This window comes from Homo sapiens, chromosome 9, assembly GCF_000001405.40.
Source record: "Homo sapiens chromosome 9, GRCh38.p14 Primary Assembly".
Taxonomy (NCBI): Eukaryota; Metazoa; Chordata; class Mammalia; order Primates; family Hominidae; genus Homo; species Homo sapiens.
Genome location: NC_000009.12, coordinates 83,389,549 through 83,408,960, shown reverse-complemented (window position 1 = coordinate 83,408,960; position 19,412 = coordinate 83,389,549). Strand labels below are relative to the sequence as shown.

The following is a 19,412-nucleotide window of genomic DNA, read 5'->3' as shown; positions in this document are numbered from 1 at the left end:
CTCTGGCAGGGTTGCTGCTCTCTTCCTTCTCGCCTCTTTCTCAGGAGGGAATGGGAAATCCATTTCCAAATTGAGCTGTGTGTGGTCTCCCCACCATCTTCCCTGCACCTGAATGGTTAATCTTCCAGTTCACGTGTTTCTGCATGGATTGTGTCCGAGGGTGCCTGTGGTAGCAGCTTAACTCTGCTCTGGTAATTAGTGATGAAAGGAGAGGATGCAGAAGGCTCAACCTGAGAGGCAGAATGACTTCACTGAAGAGTCAAGTCAGAAGAAATAAAATTTAGGGGTTGACACCAAGGTCAGTTCCCAAACCCAGGCTGGAAGAGATACAGTAATCTATTTTCCATAAATCAACCTAGTTTTCATATCAAGCCCCTTTCCCCCTGGGGTAGCTGGAAACATTTTCATGTGTCTTTTCTGAACTTTCCCCCACCTGGGGGTTGTGCCTAGTTTCTGGAGTCTCACTGGGTGCCAAGAAATGGGAGGGAGGCATGTTCATTATTGGCTAGATGTCCACATCAGCCTGACCCTTGGGCCCAGTGGGGGTTCTTAGGACATGACAACCTGGTGAGGGCAGAAAGCCCCATGTTTGTGATATTTTTTTTTTCCTAGATAGACCATATTTTTCCTCCCGAATATCCTTGTGCCAACACAGAGCACATCCAGGGAGCAAGCTTGGTTCATACAGCTTGTTCCTTTCTTCGTTTTAATCTGAAAGAAGAATCTTTTATTCCCCTGTGGCACATTAAATAAAGATAGCCATACATTCTTTGCTTTCATCTCGTTGAGAGGACATGTTTAATTCCCTTTCCCTTGAATCCAGGTTGGCCATAGTGACTCACTTGTAATCAGTAGAATGCAGTGGAAGTGACAATGTGTGAAAAGCAACCTCTGCCTGGACCCTTTGGGAATGCTCATCTTGCAGGAGGCTGGCTGCTGATGGAGAAGTCTGGCTTCCTGGAGACTGCCATGGTGTAAGGAAGCCCAAGCTAGCTACACACATGGAGAGCTGCATGGAGAGAAAGAGAAAGAGAAAGGGGAGGGAGAGAGAAAGATGAGAGAGAGAGAGAGAGAGAGAGAGAAAGATGAGAGAGAGAGAGAGAGAGAGAGAGAGAGAGAGAGACTCAACAACCCCCCTCCTCTGCTGGCCAGACCAGTCTAGGCACCAGACATGTGAGTGAAGAAATCTTCAGTTGCTTCCACATCAGACTCCAGTAATATAGAGGAACCCAGACAAGATCCATCCAGTTGAGCTCAGTCAATACAAAGAACTGTGAGAGAATACTTATTGGTTTTTGCTCCTATGTTTTAGAGTGGCTTGTTACACAGGAACAGATAACTAGAACACTTCTCATATTCTATTCTCAGTGGATTTAGACATATGAAAACAAAATCCAAGAGGTCTCACCAGCTACTAATTTTCATTCTGCTACATATAGCCTCCAAGGAGGGTAGGGATTGTGGAGCCGAATGCCTTTTTAAAGTGGGAGTGGAGGCTGGGGGAAATACAGAGATTAAAAATTCCCTAAGTTATATCTACACAATTTTCTCCCATAATTTAGACTTCTAGTAGTATGCAATTCCACCATTATATCCTTGTTGGGGTTGGCCATTTTTAGAATTTTTGGATTTGGGAAGTGGATAGGTAAAAATGGTGCTTTGTTATGGTTTAATGAATATTTGTACCAAGTATTTACTGTGTGTACAAATTATCCTGTAAAGTACAATGAAAAACTTGATGAAAAATAAGTTCACTTGAGAAAAGGAAGCTTAAGATAAGTGATGAAACTGGAATTACACCATCATGAGAAATGACCGTGACAGTATTTCATCCATTTCCAAATGAGGTCAGAGGACAGAAAGGTCAGCGAGGGTGTGGGGAGTCTGTGAGGCCTCTCATGCAGAAGCAGGATCTGCAGCGAACTCTCTGCCAGGATCAGGTGAACACATCAGTGACAAAATTTTGATAGGTGGTGAGAAGGGCTTTATTCACACAGGGGAATGGCAAGAGTGAAACCAACCATGGTGGTGGGGCATTTTGCGGAGTATTTGGAGTGATAAAATAAACTGGAGGAAAATATGGAAAATAAATTAAACAGAAAACAACAACAGGAACAACAACAAAATAAAACCCAGCAACTTGAAGAAGAGATACATACAGTTTACATTTCTGGATTTCTCTGCTCTCTTCTATGGGCTGTGTCCTCACCGATGCTGGCTAACATTTACTGACCACCAAATAAGGACCCGTTGACAACATGTCAATTGCCCAATGGCAAGGAACCAACTCTCTGAGATGATGCATATAACTTGGGGGAGCAGCACTCGTGGGTTGAAAGTTACGTTCTGATCTGGGAGGGTTATCATCAGGACCTTGTCTTGACTCACAAGAGAAAAAGCCATCCTTCCTTCCTTTCCTGAGCTCTTTAAAATTAACCAGTGAGTTACCTGTGGGAACTTTCCTCCATCCTAAGAGCCCTAGCTGGAATCTTTGGGCTGCTGTTTTTCTTTGTGTGCACAAAGCATATATGTATAAGTTCTGCAGTGGAGACCCGGAGTAAGGCTACCCAACTGGTCCTCCAGACACTGCAGTTCATTGTGAGGAATTCCTTGGCTCTAGTAGCCTTTGACTTTTCTCCTTCTCATCTTCTAACTTGTGGCCATGATGATGGGAAGAAAAGATTGGGAGGCCCTTCACAGAAGGAGATGGGAACTAGGAGGTGTGGGTGGACGGAGGGAGGGGAAAGCAGGGAAGATTGGTGTTAGTGACTGGAGGCAGAAGACTCAGAGGACTACTTTCTGTGCTCTGTGAGATCCGAAGACTCCTGCAGCTCCTTAGCAATGCTGTTTATCTGCTTTCTGATTTCCAACCCCAGCTGCCTTGCATTAGTGGCACAGCCAAATTCTCAGTATGTATGCTAGGGGGCAGTAGGAAGGGAGAATGGAATGTGATAGAATTGCTGGAAAAAAAAAAGAAATTGCCTATGTGAAATGAAACACAAGTTACTGTTTGCTTTAATCTGTGACCGAGTAAAATTGGCAGAATTTTCGTCAGGACGGAAAGTAAGAACCAATTATGCAGCTCAGCCCTACTCCAACAAACTGTCAAACTAAAAACCTCTGCCAGCTCTGGTCCCACCCTCACTGCAGGCATGGGCTTGGAGGGAGATGATGGACACTTTCTTTCTTTTTTTTTTTTTGACTGAGTTTCGCTCTTGTTGCCGAGGCTGGAGTGCAATGGCGCGATCTTGGCTCACCACAAGATCGGGTTCAAGCAATTCTCCTGCCTCAGCCTCCCAAGTAGCTGAGATTACAGGCATGTGCCACCATGCCCGGCTAATTTTTTTTTTTTTGCATTTTTAGTGGAGATGGGGTTTCTTCATGTTGGTCAGGCTGGTCTCGAACTCCCAACCTCAGGTGATCTACCTGCCTCGGCCTCCCAAAGTGCTGGGATTACAGGTGTGAGCCACTGTGCCCAGCTCTATGGATACTTTCAATCCTTCTCTCTGTATCCCAGAACCGCTCCTTCCTCATCCCATGATGCAACTTTTAGGGGACCCAGCTGATTGGGTTCAGATGTAAGTGGATCACTGTAAGCCCTGGGACAAAGCCAGGGTGGCGCTCTGCTAACATGGCATTGTGGAAACCCAGAACTGCCTCAGCTTGGGTCTGAGGCGGAGCTTCACCATTATCCAGTGCAGCCCACTGTTGCACACCTGGGCACTGGGAGGCCCAGAGAGGTTAATACATTGCCAAGGGCTATCAGTTGGCAGAGGCAGGGGACTCTACCATGCACTTGTGCTTAAAACTGCTGGGGTAATGTTTTAAAGGGGCCTCTACAAGGGGTCCCCGAAATGGAACTTTAAGATCAGAGATGGTCGGTCTTCACTCAGCCCATCGTCTCTTCCTTCTCTGCTCTCCAAAATGAAAAGGAAGCAGTACTTCTAGATAACATGAGAACTGGAATTCTGGTTTGTGAGTCTTAAGGATACCTCTAGTCCATCAGCCCTTGGGAATATAGGCTGTGTCCCTTCAGAGAGTAAACCAGTGTCCTGTGCCGTGAAAAAGAAACACATTACCTTTACACTGATAAGCAACCCAATGCTTGTTGTTTGTAGGAAAGCTAGAAAACGCAAATAAAAAGGCACAAAGCAAAAACTAAAAATAACTTAACTCTTAACTCTCACAAATATCCCCATCAACATTTAGCTTTTTAGCCTTCAAATCTTTACTTTTTGTCTGCATGTATATGTATGTATGTGTGTGTACATATAAATATACACACAAACATAAAACGTCTGAGTTTTACAAAAATGGTTTATTCTGTCTATTTTTTTTCATTTTATATTTGTCTTAAATGTATGTAACTTCTTACGAGTGCATCCCTGAGAGGGGCTCTGATTTTACACCCATTTTTAGCATGCATTTCTGCACATTCTTGTGGGTTTATGCAGTTCCATCAGGCTCTGCCATGATGCATTTCTAAACAATGGGTGAAAATGTTCTTTAGAAATAAAGAGCTGGTAGATTGGATGTGATATTTTCCTTCCTTCAGGAAGCTGCTGTCTGCCTCAAAGAGTTAAAAAAAAGGCAGAGGATGCTTAAAGAAGAAAGCTGGCTTGTAATAGCTGATAATGGCGATTAAAATTCACATCAATCTTCCTCTACATTTTTAGTTTCATAAAAATGAAACACCCTCAGCTTGAGTTGCTGTGTAGTCAGAAGAGATGTAAATATAACCAAGATGTTTTTCCTCCTTAGTGACTAATCGCTTGAAGAAAGGGGTAGGTGTGATAGCCGGGGAGCCCAGCCTACATCTTCCAGTCTTTAAATATTTGTGACAAATCGTTCTTGTGTGCGTGCCTGCTTGTGTGTGTGTGTGTGTGTGTGTGCGTGTGTATGCAGGAATTCCCACTGCACACAGAGCAGTTGTTTTAGGAATTCCAGGAGCTGTGTGGGTCACAGGCCTGCTAATTGCCTGACTACTGGGAACCTTCGGGTATGACACTATTGAAATGAGACATTAGACCTTCACAGGGTGGAGCTGTGGGCCATGCTGGGCTGGAAGTAAGGAGTAGGGTTTGAGAGGGGAAAAAAAGTAGCTTGGAGGAATTAGCAATAAAGGTGGGTGGAAGTCTTACATTTCTAGAAGGTCATTCGACCAAATAAGGCTGGTGCTAGGGTTGTTGGAAGGGTAAATGACATAATCTCTGTGCAGCACTTAGCACAGGCCCTCATTTATAGTTAGTGCTCAGTAATTTGCAGCTGTTATTCCTATTATTGTTATGGCCTCTGTCATATTACTTATGTGAAGTACACTAGACTGTAATTTCCTGTGGTGTGGCTGTGTCGAGCCACATGTATACCAATGAAGTGGAAGACATTCTGGAGCTAACTCCGTCTTCTCGTGGGGTCTCCTCTCTTCCTGCTCAGCCTGTTATACTCCCAGCCTCTCAACCTTCTCAGGATCCTACCTAGGCAAGCTACACCAAGTATAACTGAGATATGCTTTGAAGCACTGCAGAAGCCCCTTTAAAACATTATCCCAGCAGTTTCAAGCACACATGCGTGTTCGAGCCACCTTCTGCCTGTCTCCCATTTCTCTTTCCTCCCGTTTCTCTCTCCCAGAGAGGAAAGATGATTTCTTATTGCAAAAAATGCTACCATTAGGGAAGTTAGGGATGTGGAGAGAAAAGATAGTGCCTTATGGGTTTGGCCTGGGGGAGGGAATTTGGAGTTTTTGACAATTGAGAGTCTTGCTGAGCGTGGTGGCTCACGCCTGTAAGTCCAGCACTTTGGGAGGCTGAGGCAGGCGAATCACCTGAGGTCAGGAGTTCGAGACCAGCCTGGCCAATATGATGAAACCCCGTCTCTACTAAAAATACAAAAATTATCTGGGCATGGTAGCGGGTGCCTGTAATCTCAGCTACTCAGGAGGCTAAGACAGGAGAATCGCTTGAACCCGGGAGGCGGAGGTTGCAGTGAGCCAAGATCGCGCCATTGTACTACAGCCTGGGCAACAGAGTGAAACTCCATCTCAAAAAAAAAAAAAAAAAAAAAAAGAAAGAAAGAAGGAAAATTGAGAGTCTCTGTAGAATCTCAAGGCTATGAGAAAATTTGAATTGGCTAAAGAGCTTTTGGGGAGTGTTACTGTGGTTTAGACCGTAGGCTCTCTTTAATGTTTCTTGAAAACTAATAATGAAGATTTGAATTTCTTTTCAAGTATTTTTGCTACTGACCTGTTTCTCTTTAAAAATGTGTCTGAGCCCTGCTGAGGCTGATACATGTGGACTTCCATGGTTATATTAAGGCTGCATGTATATAATCTCCTTCTCTTATCTTCATTTCTCTGCCCTTTTTTAGTTTTCCTTTCTTATTAGCCTTGCATGAGGACATTTTCCCCCTACCCCAGCAAAGCCTAGCTAACTGTGTAAATGGTAATGCATTTCTAAATTTCTCCATAAACTATTCATCCATCCACTCTTGGTTAGGCTGCTTGGCCCCATCATCCTAGTGGGGCCAAGAGCTGTATTGTCAGATGATTCTCAGAAACTGGAGAATCCCTCAGCCCAAGGCTCTTGACAGACAGAGTGTGCAGAGGTTCTATGCTTAATTGGAGCCACAGGTTGGTTAGTTTGTTTTCCTTGACTGTTGAGTTCAGGGTAGCCATCTCGTATGCAATTTCAGGAGGAATTCTGTCTTCCTTGTTAGGCTCCTGGGGCGTTAAGAATTCCACAAGCAGAAACCATCTCTTTGCTCTCTGGGTGTGAATGTCAGCTCCTAATTGACTGTTGCTGTATTTTTCTTGGAGCTGTATACTCACAAATCATTTAAAAAATATGAGCCACAAGCAATTCCAATTAGACCATGAACTCTAAACTCATGGAATGCCTTAAAATGCACATAATAGTTTAAGATTTATTATAGAAATGCCTGAGGCATATTTGTATTGATTTTAAAATGGGTGACAATATTATTTTAGGTGCATATTTAAAAAACAGTCTTGTGGAGGGCCAATCCAGCTTGCTATGCTAATTAAACCCAGTGTTGGACTGAGCCCTAGTGTGATCGCTATTAGGATTATTTGTAAGCATTCTTTATTTCATCCTTTTAGGCACATGATGAAATTTTACTTTCTTACCTCTCTGAAGTTAGGCAAGATATGTATCTTATTTTGGCCAATAAACCGAAGTGATGCATGTCACTTCCAGGCAGAATGTTTAGAAGCTGGTGTGGGACTCACCACATTCCTTTCCTGCTGCTGTGTTGACTGTTGAAACAGCTGTTAAGAGGAATCCTTAATCCCTTCACATCTCAAAGAGATTAGGAGCAGAATTCTCCCCTGCTAATATTCATTGGCTGTGCATACTAAGTGAGAAATAAACCTCTGTGGTGTTAACTCACTGACCTTTTGGAATTCTTTGTTACTGCAGCTTAATCTAGCCTATCCTGACTGATATATCTTGGCTCCAGCTCTTGATTTGAAATCTTAATTCCAGCACTAATTTGTATTATTTCATCTAAAATTCTCTGGGTCTCAGTTTCCCCATTTCTGAGATGAAGAGTTTGGATAAGATTATCTCTATAGTACCTTCCAACTCCAACATTCTGTGATTCTACTTTTAAAAATCTGAACATTGTACTGCTCGCTAACGGTTAATAATTCTAGTCTTTTCTTTCTGGACTCTGAGAGACCTGAGTTCAAACCTGGCATTTTGCCATTTGCTTGCCATGTGACCTTGGTCAAGTTATTCAGCCACCCTAAGTTTTATCTTCCTCTTCTTGAAAATGGGAACGCAATTAGCTCCTGGGGCTTACGTGGATGAAATCCAATGAATAGTTGAGGTAATCTAAATATAGTACATAGAACCAGGCACTAAGGAAGTTCTAAGTGAATGCTTGTTAATTAGGAATCTGAGAAGAAGAGGAGGTGATGCTAGCATCTCCTGATGTGGCTCAAGGAGATGGTGAATCCCAGAGAGTTTGGCCTTTCTGTTTCACAAGGCTTGTTAGAGAAGCAAATATTCCAGATCACAGACTATACTAAGAAAAAGAAGCAGATATTAAATGAAGATGTACTTAAGTTCAGGAAGCATTGATTAATAAAGATAGCTCATTTCTGAAAGCACTTTGCTTAAAATCTTGTCTCAGCTACTGTGGTCAGGATAACTTAAAAATATATATTTTATCCTTTGGGGACTTTTTGTCAGAAATCAGTTGACTATATTTGTGTGAGTCTATTTCTGGGTTCTCTATTGTGTTTCATTTTTCTATTTGCCTATTATTTTGCTAATACCACATTGCCTTCATCACTGTAACTTTATAGTAAGTCTTGAAGCTGGGTAGCATCAGTCCTCTGACATTGTTTGTCATCAATACTGTGTTGGCCACTCTAAATCTTTTGCCTTTTCACAAAACATCAGAATCTGACTGTCAATATCCCACTGGGATTTTGATGGAGCTTGCATTGAATCTATAGAATAAATTGAAAAGAACTGACATCTTGACAATATTGAGTTTTTCTATTCTGTTCATGGGTACTAGAATATCCATTTATTTAGATCTTTTATTTCTTTCATCCAAATTTTGGTAGTTTTCCTGATATAGATTTTGTACATATTTTGTTAGAGTTATCCCTAAGTATTTCATTTTTTGGGGTGCTAATATAAATGGTCTTTTGTTTTTAATTTCAACTTTCAATTGTTCATTGCTGGTCTATAGGAAAACAATTTATTTTTGTATGTTAGCTTTATGTCCTGCAACATTGCATTTATTAGTTTATTAATTCTAGGAGTGGGTTTTTTTGGTAGATTCTTTGATATTTTTTACATAGACAATGAGAACATCTGATGTCATCTGCAGACAAAGAAATTTTTATTTCTTCCTTCCCAATCTGCATACCTTTTTCTTTTCTTTTCTCTCTTCTCCTCTCCTGTCTTTTCTTTTCTCTTCTTTTTTCTTTCTTGTCTTGTGTTACTGCATTAGCTAGGACTTCCAGTATGGTGTTGAAAAGAAGTGGTAAGAGAGGACATCTTTGCCTTGTTCCCTGTTTTAAGGGAAACACATCTAGTTTCTCACTATTAAGTATGATGTTAGCTGTATAGTTTTAATAGACATTCTTTATCAAGTTGAGGAAGTTATTTATTTCTTTTTAACAATTTTAAAATGTGGTAGACGTTCTTTATCAAGTTGAGGAAGTTATTTATTTCTTTTTAACAATTAAAAAATGTGGTTATAATAACCAAATATAGCAGTCCCAGGTTTAAATATTTACTCTGCCAGTTTCTAGCTCTGTTGACTTTGGATAAGTTAATTAGCTTCTTTGAGCCTTAGCCTTAGCATGAAGAAAAAAACTCACTTTGTTAAAATCATAGAAAAGATTCAACTTGTAAAATGTCTAGATTATTCTGATGTGAGTGCTTTGAAGAGCTGGACCTGGCACGAAAATCTGGAACAAGAAGAAGAAAAAGATGGAGAAGAAAGAACCTTTTGAGCACAGGCTGTGGCAAAAACTGCTAAGAAGAGCTGACAAATCAAATATGATTCCCTGAGCATTGGGATGGACCTGTGTGCCAGTCAGAACAGAAATGACCGAATGACTAGGAACAGATACACAAGGCATCTTTTAGAATGAAAGCCACAGTACGCAGTAGAGGTAATGGAGGCAGAAAACACCCAGAAGAGAAACAAAAAGAGGCAAACGTTACTAACTCCAAGCTACCTTGACTGATTATTCAACTGTGACACTCCTTCAGAAGACACTGTTTAGGATTCAGATGAAAAACTGACCAACGTATTCTGGCTGCTTCATCTTCTCCTGGATGCACTATTTCTTTGTCTTTCTTCCTTAGGACCCTTTTGACTTCTCTAGCTTTAATACTATTAAGCCTCTTGCTGTGATGTTGACTGTATGTCTATCTTCTCATAGTGTGTAGGGGCTACCATGGGCATTAGATAAGCAGTTGGGTTTTCATTCTCTACCATTGGGCCTGGCTGGGTAAGGTGGCTGTTTGTGTCTTGCCTTTGTTTTTGTATCCAGTGCTCACTTTCAGGCAACTATTGATTTTGTTTCCCTCATGGGTAGCTGGCCCTGGTATTGTTTTTGTTGTTATTTTCTGTTTTTTAGGTCACTACTATAGTCATAATCCTCCACCAACTTATGAATACTTACTGGGCACAAAAACGCCTTTAATAAAATTTGCCTGTATTTGCAATTATCTTAGCTTTAGCTACTAATTATTACTCTAAAACAGATATGTATTCAGAATTACATATTTCTTTCTTCTTTTAAAAATTTTATTATTATTATACTTTAAGTTTTAGGGTACATGTGCACAACGTGCAGGTTTGTTATGTATGTATACATGTGCCATGTTGGTGTGCTGCACCCATTAACTCGTCATTTAGCATTAGGCATATTTCATTTTTCCCAAATCTTGGGTTTATCTTCCATACATTTGAAAATATTTGGATAACACAAATCAAAGAAACTTTTAATTTCTGTGTGAGAACCACAGATTCAACCATGAGAGGTTCCTCTATTCTTGTTTTTCTTTACATTTATCTCCCATTTAAATAGCTTTAATATTTCTCTCATATTCTTGGGATGATGTAATTTTCTGAATATATATCACAGCGTAATATCTAATACTAGTTACTGTTTGCAATAGGAAGAATGCCAGTTACTGTTTGTAATAGTACCAGTTACTGTTAACAAAGCAATATATTACTTGCTGTTTAATAAAGGTTTTCTTATTAAAGAGATGCAGTTTTTGTTAAAGCTGTGGTCCCTAACATAACAAAATGTGTGAATTTACACAAATAGGCTTGAGTTTTTTTATAGCAGAATATTAACAGAGCACTTTTATGTTGTTCAATCAAGCTACAATCTTTCTTATATTAATAAATGCTTGTCCTTGACAATAAAAGCAGAACTATTTAGTTCACCAGTTTCTCATTACTATTCTGTATTCATCTGCCTATGAAGGTAAATGAATCAAGGCCCTTAATTCACCAGAGAAATGTATCCATCTGTCCCTAGAAGACATAATCCTAGCAGCAAACTGAGCATTTAGTTGCTGTTAAGGGCCTTGTAATTGGTTTGAAGCTCCTCATGGAGTTTCTGGGCATTCAGATGATTGGATTCTTCCTTCCAGGTAGAAGAATCACCAGAGACAATTCTGTTCTTTCCCAGATGTACATTTATGAAGGCTGTCCCTTCTCAAAAGCAACTTCTGCAGGCATAAGGTGCCAAGCAACAGAGCCCTTTGAACAAGAACCTCACAACCCTCATAATTAGGAAATGAGGCCTCACAGCTCCCACTTCTGTTTATCATAGAGGGGTCCTGGAGGAACAGTGCCAACCCCAGAGCAAACTGTTCCCACCATCCTGGGGCTGTGCTTCCAACTCCTCTGGCCCTTGCCTGCTTCCCTCATTCCAGCGAGCCTCTCCCATGTCTCTGTTCTGTATTAAGTTTTTCTTCCTCCATTGTGTCCTAGGACCCCAGTTGTTGGGCAGCTTTAGAGGGCAGCCCAAAGCTGTGTCCGCTGAGGATGTTTCCTGGCTCTGAGGATGTACTTCCAAGGAAAGCTCTTTCAAGGATCGCTTTCTGAGACCTCTGTTATTGCCTCAGATTAGGGATTGTAAACTCAAATACCTCCAGTGATCAGGGAATTGAGGGAAATGGAAGAAGCGGAAGACAACAGGGAAGGCGGAAATGTGGTGGACTGCAGAGTTCATTTTTCAGGGAAAGGAGAAGCCAACCAGACCTTTACGGTCCAGCTTCCACACCCTCCAGCTTTTCAAGGGCAGCTAGCATCCAGATTTTATGTGCAGTCTCCCCATTCAAAAACACCAAAACGCTATGCTGACTGATAGAACACAGCAGTCAATGGACTCTGCTCCTGGGCTCATCAGTCAGCCATGATCAGCTCAGTTAACACTATGCTGACTGAATAGAACACAGCAGAACAAAGAGTAGAGTCAATGGACTGCTCCCGGGCTCATCAGTCAGCCATCTCTGCAACTGTGTTTCACACCAGCATTACTGTTCTCTCTTAGCTCTTCTTGGCCTGAGGCATTGATTTACCTTCTCTCCGGAGTGAAAATGTTGGGTGCAACAAACAGAAAAGCCAATCTGTACTTGCTGAAATAATAAGGAATTTCATGGGCATCTCCAAGGAAATTCACATTAACTGATTGACAGTTTGCAGACACAGGCTCCATTTCTCTGTGAATATTTCGGCTTCATCCTCAATCCCACTGCACCTCTGTGTATGGTCCAGAGGGAAGGGCAAGTCTCTTCTCGAAGCTCTTTCAGAAGAGTAAATAAGAATTATCCCAGAAGCCCTCGTAAAGTATTCCTCATGTCTCATTGGCCTAAGCTGGGTCATGTGTCCTTTCCTGAACCAATCAGACAAGAGAGGTGGGGTTACCCTCATACCAACCAAGCTAGAGCCCTCAGATGCGATTGGGTCATAGTTCCTTGAGGCTTATGCCTGTACCATGTGTGTGCGTGCATGTGTGTACACGCATGTGCATACCTGAGGAAAATCTGGGTTCCTTTAAGAAAGATAAAGGGATGTATGGTTGCTAAGCAGTTAACCAATGAAGTCTATTATAATGTGCTTTGTATTTTATAAAACTGCCTTTTCCCAGCCTGGTGTTGTTGTGGGTAACCCAGTGCTCCTTCCTGCCAGTGTCCAAATTCTAGTAATTGGAGAACTTGACATTGCTTCCAAATCCTCATATTGTTGTTTTCCTCTCTCTCCACATAGAGAATGGGGACACATAGGCCAACTGAGTTCCTAGAACAGATTCAGCATAGGTGTCAGACCTCGGTTTGACAGCCCTGTAAACAAACACAGAATTTCTGAGTTCATTTTTCCTCATCTGTAACATGAGGAGAATATTAACTACCCCAATGGGTTGTCAAGAGATCAAATGCAAAATATGTAGCAAAGTTCTTGATATACAGTAAGTGTTAAATGAATAGTAGTTCTTATTACTATGTTCATACCTTCATCCCTAAAGGTAGCTATCCAAACTCTAAACTTGTTTAGCAATATATTCAGTATTTTGGGGTTGGTACTGTTTTTTCCACTTAACCAATGTCTAAAAGGCTGAACAAAACCTCGCTTGGAGTTTTAGGAATTGGGGACTGAAATCTGCCAGACTTTTTTTTTTTTTTAATTGAAGAAAAGCTATTGCTGACTTGGGCAATTGATTTCTTTGCTCTTTTTCTTTAAGCACAAATTTATTGTTGTTTTAATTTTACTGCTGAACTTGGGAGTTGAAGTAAATGCATCATCAGCAGTTGGCTGCAGAGAATCAAGGAAAGTTATCCTTAGCAAACTAAAGCAGGAACAGAAAACCAAATACCACCTGTTCTCACTTATAAGTGGGAGCTAAATGATGAGAACACATGGACACAAAGAGGGGAACAACAGACATGGAAACTTGTTGGGGGTGGAGAGTGGGAGGAGGGAGAGGATCAGAAAAAATTACTAATGGGTACTAGGCTTAATACCTGGGTGATGAGATAATCTGTACAACAAACCCCCATGACACAAGTTTACCTGTATAACGAACCTGCACATGTACCCATGAACGTAAAATAAAACTCAAATGAATAAAAAAAAGAATTGAGTTCTTTGTCTTTTTGTTCCCTTTTTTTTTTTTTTTTAAATCTATAGAGGACAGTTCTGGGAGGCAAATACTATTCCACTTAACTTCCTTATATCTAAAAGGATCTGTAAAATTGAGACAAAGATTTAAGATTAAGATTATTCTTAATATTATTAATAATGACATCTAACATTGGTATAATACTTTGCAGTTTACAAAATTCATTCACATTTTACAAAGGGCAGGATTTTAAGATCTGTGAGATGATAAATTTCTAGGTTTCACTCTTTGCTTATTTATAATCCCTATCTCAATGCCTGGTGCATAATAGGTGTTTAATAGATACATGAATGAGCCTTAGAATATCTAATTGGGGATACATCTGGAAGTTACCATCATTATTCTCCCATTATGGAAGGAGAAACAGTCTCAGAGGAATTTGGTGACTTTCTTAAGGCCACTTAGCTGATGAGTGGTGAAAACAAGATTAGAACACAGTGGCATCTTCTGTTTTCCTAGTACATACTTTGGGGTGGGGAGGAGAGGTGGACTTTTCTGACAAGTAGGCTAGTTTGTGATTGTAAAAATTAGGTTCCATAGGGTGTAAAGGGGTAAATCCAACCCGTTCTGTGAGAGAATGATAAGCTCTCCTGACATCTGTGTTTGGTGGGACTTACTACTGACTCTGGTCCACTCAGCAGCCTTTGAAGAGAAGGTACTGTGGGCATCAGAAGAAACAAAATCATCATATTACAAACAACAACAGTATATAGCTGTCATTTATTGAGCAGCTACTGTGTGTCCAACAAGATATTTACAAACATTGTCTTTAATACACAGGTTACCCATTAAAGACTGCATTATGTAGAGTTTACAGACCAGGAGATAGAGATTCAGAGTAACTAAATACTTTTTTTCACTCTCTCAAAAGGGTTAGCCCACTCTTACCCAGCCATCCCTAATCAGACATGTGATTGTTTCACACAAATTCTTTTGAAATAGATCCTAGTTTGCCATATCAGTGAGTCTGTAGCCCAGGGAGAGAATTTGCCTTTTGAGATGCCCAGAATTATGCCAAGTATCCTGCCATACCCAGGAGACTAACACTTTCCACCCTGAGGGAAGATGAGATTATTGCAGGGGGTTCAGCAATCCAACGCACACTAAAAATTGTCTGAAAAATGGGCAGAGAAGGTGAGAGAGAGGACACAACCCCTTTTACACTTTGGGGCTTGTGGACTAAAGAAATCCCAAACAGAACCCCCAAGCCTGGTGGCACAGTTTAGATCAGAGAGTCTCAAACTCTCAAACTCTCTGTGGGGAGACACAAGTACTAGATTTTTATTCCTCCAGTCTACTTTGGACCAATATTTGTAAAAAAAAACAACAACAACAAAAAAAAACAAAATCAAAAACACACACACAATAGAATTAAATTGATCTTAATTTCTGCACTTGTTTTTTGGAGTAGGGGATCCAATCCCCGGGCCTCAGAACTGAGCTGCATAGCAGTAGGTGAGCTGCGGGCAAGCAAGAAGCTTCATCTGTATTTACAGCTGCTCCCCATCCCTCGCAGTACTACCTGAGCTCCACCTCCTGTCAGATCAGCGGCAGCATTAGATTCTCATGGGAGTGCAAAGCTATTGTGAGCTGTGCAGGTGAGAGATCTAGGCTGCACACTCCTTATGAGAATCTAATGCCTGATGATCTGTCACTGTCTCCCACCACCCCCAGTTAGTTGCAGGAAAACAAGCTCAGGGCTCCCACCGCGTCTACATTATGGTAAATTGTATAATTATTTCCTTATATATTACAATATAATAATAATAGAAATAAAGTGCACAATAAATGTTAGGTGCCTGAATCATCCTGAAACCATCCCACCACCCTGTCGTTGGAAAAATTATCTTCCGTGAAACTGGTCCCTGGTTCCAAAAAGGATGGTGACTGCTGTCTTGGAGGACCAGTCATGCACTGTTCATGTTCTGGCATAGTCCATGGGTCACATCTTGGCTAGCATTGGCTTATAGATTTTAACACATTAAAAATATTGCAATTGTCTTCACATTATTTTAGTACAGTATTTATAAAAAGAATCAAGTCACAGTGTACTATAGATAATAAGGACCAGTATTGAGACACAAGTTAAGTTGTGTAGTTGAACAAATTCTTTCAACCCTGTCAGTGCATTTCTGAGACCATACAACCTCATTTAGAGACAGCATCAAAAGTCTATACTTATGCACATATGGATTTTAAGCACAGATTATCAAATCCTACTGATCTTTGTATTAGACCCTGCTCACGCATTTATATCTTACTACTTTTCACATGTATTAAATACTGTTGTGATTAATAAAACATAATTTAGGTAACAGCTCTGAAGAATTTAAATTAGCTGCTTGATTTTTTTTTCTCTGCTCAATCAGTACTGCACGTAGAGCTGCTATCCTGTGGGAGAATCAACAAAAGTCTGACATTAAAAAGAAATCCTTTTACTTGAAATCTTTGATAACCACTTCTGCACACAGACCTTGAGAGAGATGCATGAAAGTTGGCCAATTCCACTACATTTGTGGAACTGCCAATACCAGGATGCTATTGTCTCGCCCGGGGCTCTCTGTTAGTGCTGTGCGGGCTTGTGGAAAGTGCTTCCTTCTGTTCCCAGACCTCATGTTTTCCATGAGAAAAAAGGAAAGACTTCTTATTCATCTGGTAACATCCAGCATGCCAGGCACTGGTTTAGGCCGCAGGGAAGGAACCTCTATCTTCAGGAGGTTCAGGAGGAAGCATGTGGAAGGTTCAGGTCATAACCACTGTTTACTCCCCAGTCTCTCTTCTGATGTGAGGTATATGGGCAGTAGCTGGACTTCTGCCCCTCATGCACCTGACTCCTGAACCAGCTCTTCCAACCTTTGGTACTGGGCGTATGCAGGCTTTTGTTTAGTGCAAGAACTGAGCTTAAGGGACAAAAATGACAACAGTGGGAACTTAAATGGCTTACAGACTTCGGATTTCCAGGCGAAGAATGTGGGACTGTAAGCTGACTTCCTTGGCACCAAGCAGTGAGACATGGAGGGTCTCAGGGTGGTGAGGCTTGCTGGGCAACGTGCAGAGGCCAGGGCAGAACTGCAAAGGGCTATTGATGTCTCCTGACAATGGCAGAGGCAGCTTGTGTACCCAAGGCAGGAAAGGACTGATTTTTCTGAGTTAAGGAAGAGACAATTCTCAAGGAAAAGGGGCTTTTTTTTTTTTCTTTGTGGTGGTCCCTGGAGAAAGGAAAATTTTGTGCTTTTCCCATGTTGTGGAAATCCTCCTGGACCAATGCTTCTCAAACTTCAATGTGCATGCGAATTAACTGGGGATTTTGCCAAAATGCAGACCAGGTGCAGCAGGGCTAGAGCAGTGCCTGAGATTCTGTCTCCAACAGGCTCCCTCCTGGGTGAGACTGAGGCTGCTGCTCTGTGATAGTGTTGATCTGTAGGCTATACCTTCAGTAGCAAAGACCTAGAATCCACCTGGTGGTCTGGAACCATGGGAATTGGCCTGACCTGGTTTTTGGAAGGCATTGGCCCCTGTTTCAGCCACGGTTGCCTGCTCTAATCACTGCGTTGTCTGCAGCAGCATTTTCTTCTCTCAAGGGTCTTCAGTAGTCAATGGAGATCTTGCTGGAGGGTGTATATTGGTTGCTGTGTTTAATCCTTAAAAAAAATCTTTGTTGTGCTGTTGAGTACATCTTCTTTAGGGCAAAATGACAGCAGTATCTGTCATGAACAATCAAGGCCTGCTCAATCCCATATTATTACAATGCACTGCCTTGACCCACATATCTGGAATATGGTAGGGAATACTTCCCTATAGTACATCCTAATGAAGAGGGCTTTGCCATTCAATCATAAAATGATGAGCTCCTATGTTATGTTTGGTGAGGGGATAATGCTGCAACCTTTTAAAGATGATTGGATTACAGAGTATATGTGTAAAAGGAACTAAAGCCAATGATTATTTTCTGGGCATTGAATTCAGCTGTTAGGTATAGCTTTGTCATTTGAGACTCCTGGATTAAAAAACAATTACAGACATTTAAAAACAAATTCCATTTTTATGTTTTGTCTCTTTTGAGCTATATCAGATGGTTTCTCAGGAAGGAAGTTAAAAACTTGAAGCTTATTCAAAATCAAACTCAAAAGTGATTTCAGGAAAATGGAGGTTTCATATCACACTATGTGCTTATAAACCCCCGTCCTTCACTCAGTGCAGCGCATCCCAGGCTTTTTGGAAGGCATTGACCCCTGTTTCAGCCACGCTTGCATTGTCTAATCACTGCATTGTCTGCAGCAGCATTTTTTTCTCTCAAGGTCTTGAGTAGTCAATGGAGATCTTGCTGGAGGGTGTGGCTTTCCCATCCAACTTCCTGAGTTAATGGTAGTGGTCTTTAATGAAAAGATCATTATGTAACATAGACCAAACTGATCTTTCAAAATTATTTTTAGTGGATTGAAAAAGTAGCTCACTTAATGCCTCTAATTTCTTCATATATTTTAATAGGTCACATCTCTAAAACATTTCATGGGTCTGTCAGCGACTTTGATTGAAGCAGAAATTAATCTTATCAGATATCCTGATGAGGGCTTAGAAGGGTCTTTGCTCTGAAGAGATTTTTGTTGTAGTGGTATTTATGTTAATCAGATTTGGCTGTTACATCTTTCACTTGTAGAATTTTAGAAGGAAAAATAACCTAACTAACTTAGAAATAATCTAGTCCAACCACCTTATTTTACCGAAGTAGAAACAGCTAGGGGTTTACCCAAGGTCACACAGGCCTGTCTTTGGATCTTAGTCCTGGGCTCCCCTGAATCTCCCACACTGCCTTTCTGTGTTGGTTTATGGAAGGGATGCAGTGGCTCTGAGGACCAAGGAAGCAGGTTCCCTACCATTCCCGCTGAGAGCCAGGGAATTTAGTTACCACTCACAGCATTGCCACTCTCACCAGATGCTGCCTCCTGGCAGAGCTGCAGTGGACTCGTGATTGCTCCAGGGGGTCAAAGTGGCTTGGAAGGAGCCCACATACTGCAGCCAGTTGGCCTGGCTCAAATCCTGTCCTGCTCCATTCAAGTTGTGTGACTTTGGGCAAGTCACTGAACCTCTTTGTGGCTCAGTTTCCTCCGATATAAAATGAGAACCTTCCTGGTAGGATCATTGTGAGAACTGGATGAATGAATATGTACCGAGGAATTAGAAAAAGCAGTTAGGCCGTTGTATGTGTTACATGAGAGTTTCCAAATTGTGGACCTCCACAAGTTACTGTGTTGTGAAATTAGTACTCTGAGTCATAAATAGCATTAGACAAATTAAATGGCATATGGATTATTTTGACTGCTCTTTTTGGGGTCCTTTTGGTTCCGTGTGTGTGTGTGTGTTTGTGTGTGTGTAATGGCTCATGATGTAAAATGTATTTATCATTGAGGATTTGTGGTTAAAAGAGTTTGGAAGCCCCTTCTTCAGGGACTGGAGTGAGCACATTTATTTTTCAGAACATAGACCCATGGTGGTGAACAAGGCTCCCTGAGGACGTGAATGCACAAGGTGAGCTCTGGCTGAGACTTAAATGTGCTTCCTTTGCAGAGGGAAACCAAAGGGCAGTTTCTCATTGACCACATCTGCAACTACTACAGCCTGCTGGAGAAGGACTACTTTGGCATTCGCTATGTGGACCCAGAGAAGCAAAGGGTAAGAGCTGATTTCTATCTGGAGCCATTTTCAGGGAGTGACCCAGACTGTGGTG

At 41.3% G+C, this 19,412-nt stretch overlaps 1 protein-coding gene across 9 annotated transcripts in view; it reads left to right on the top strand.

Moving 5' to 3' along the window:
• The window catches only part of FRMD3 (FERM domain containing 3), a 342,803-nt gene that overhangs the window by 176,834 nt on the left and 146,557 nt on the right, over window positions 1–19,412 (top strand). For 8 of the 9 annotated variants that reach the window (NM_001244959.2, XM_024447487.2, XM_047423155.1 and 5 more), the window contains one exon: window positions 19,253–19,357. In NM_001244959.2, the coding sequence (NP_001231888.1) occupies window positions 19,253–19,357 (105 nt within the window). Of the gene's footprint in view, window positions 1–16,671; window positions 16,693–19,252; window positions 19,358–19,412 lie in introns of those variants that run through there. The other variant, XM_047423153.1, reaches the window with a different exon arrangement.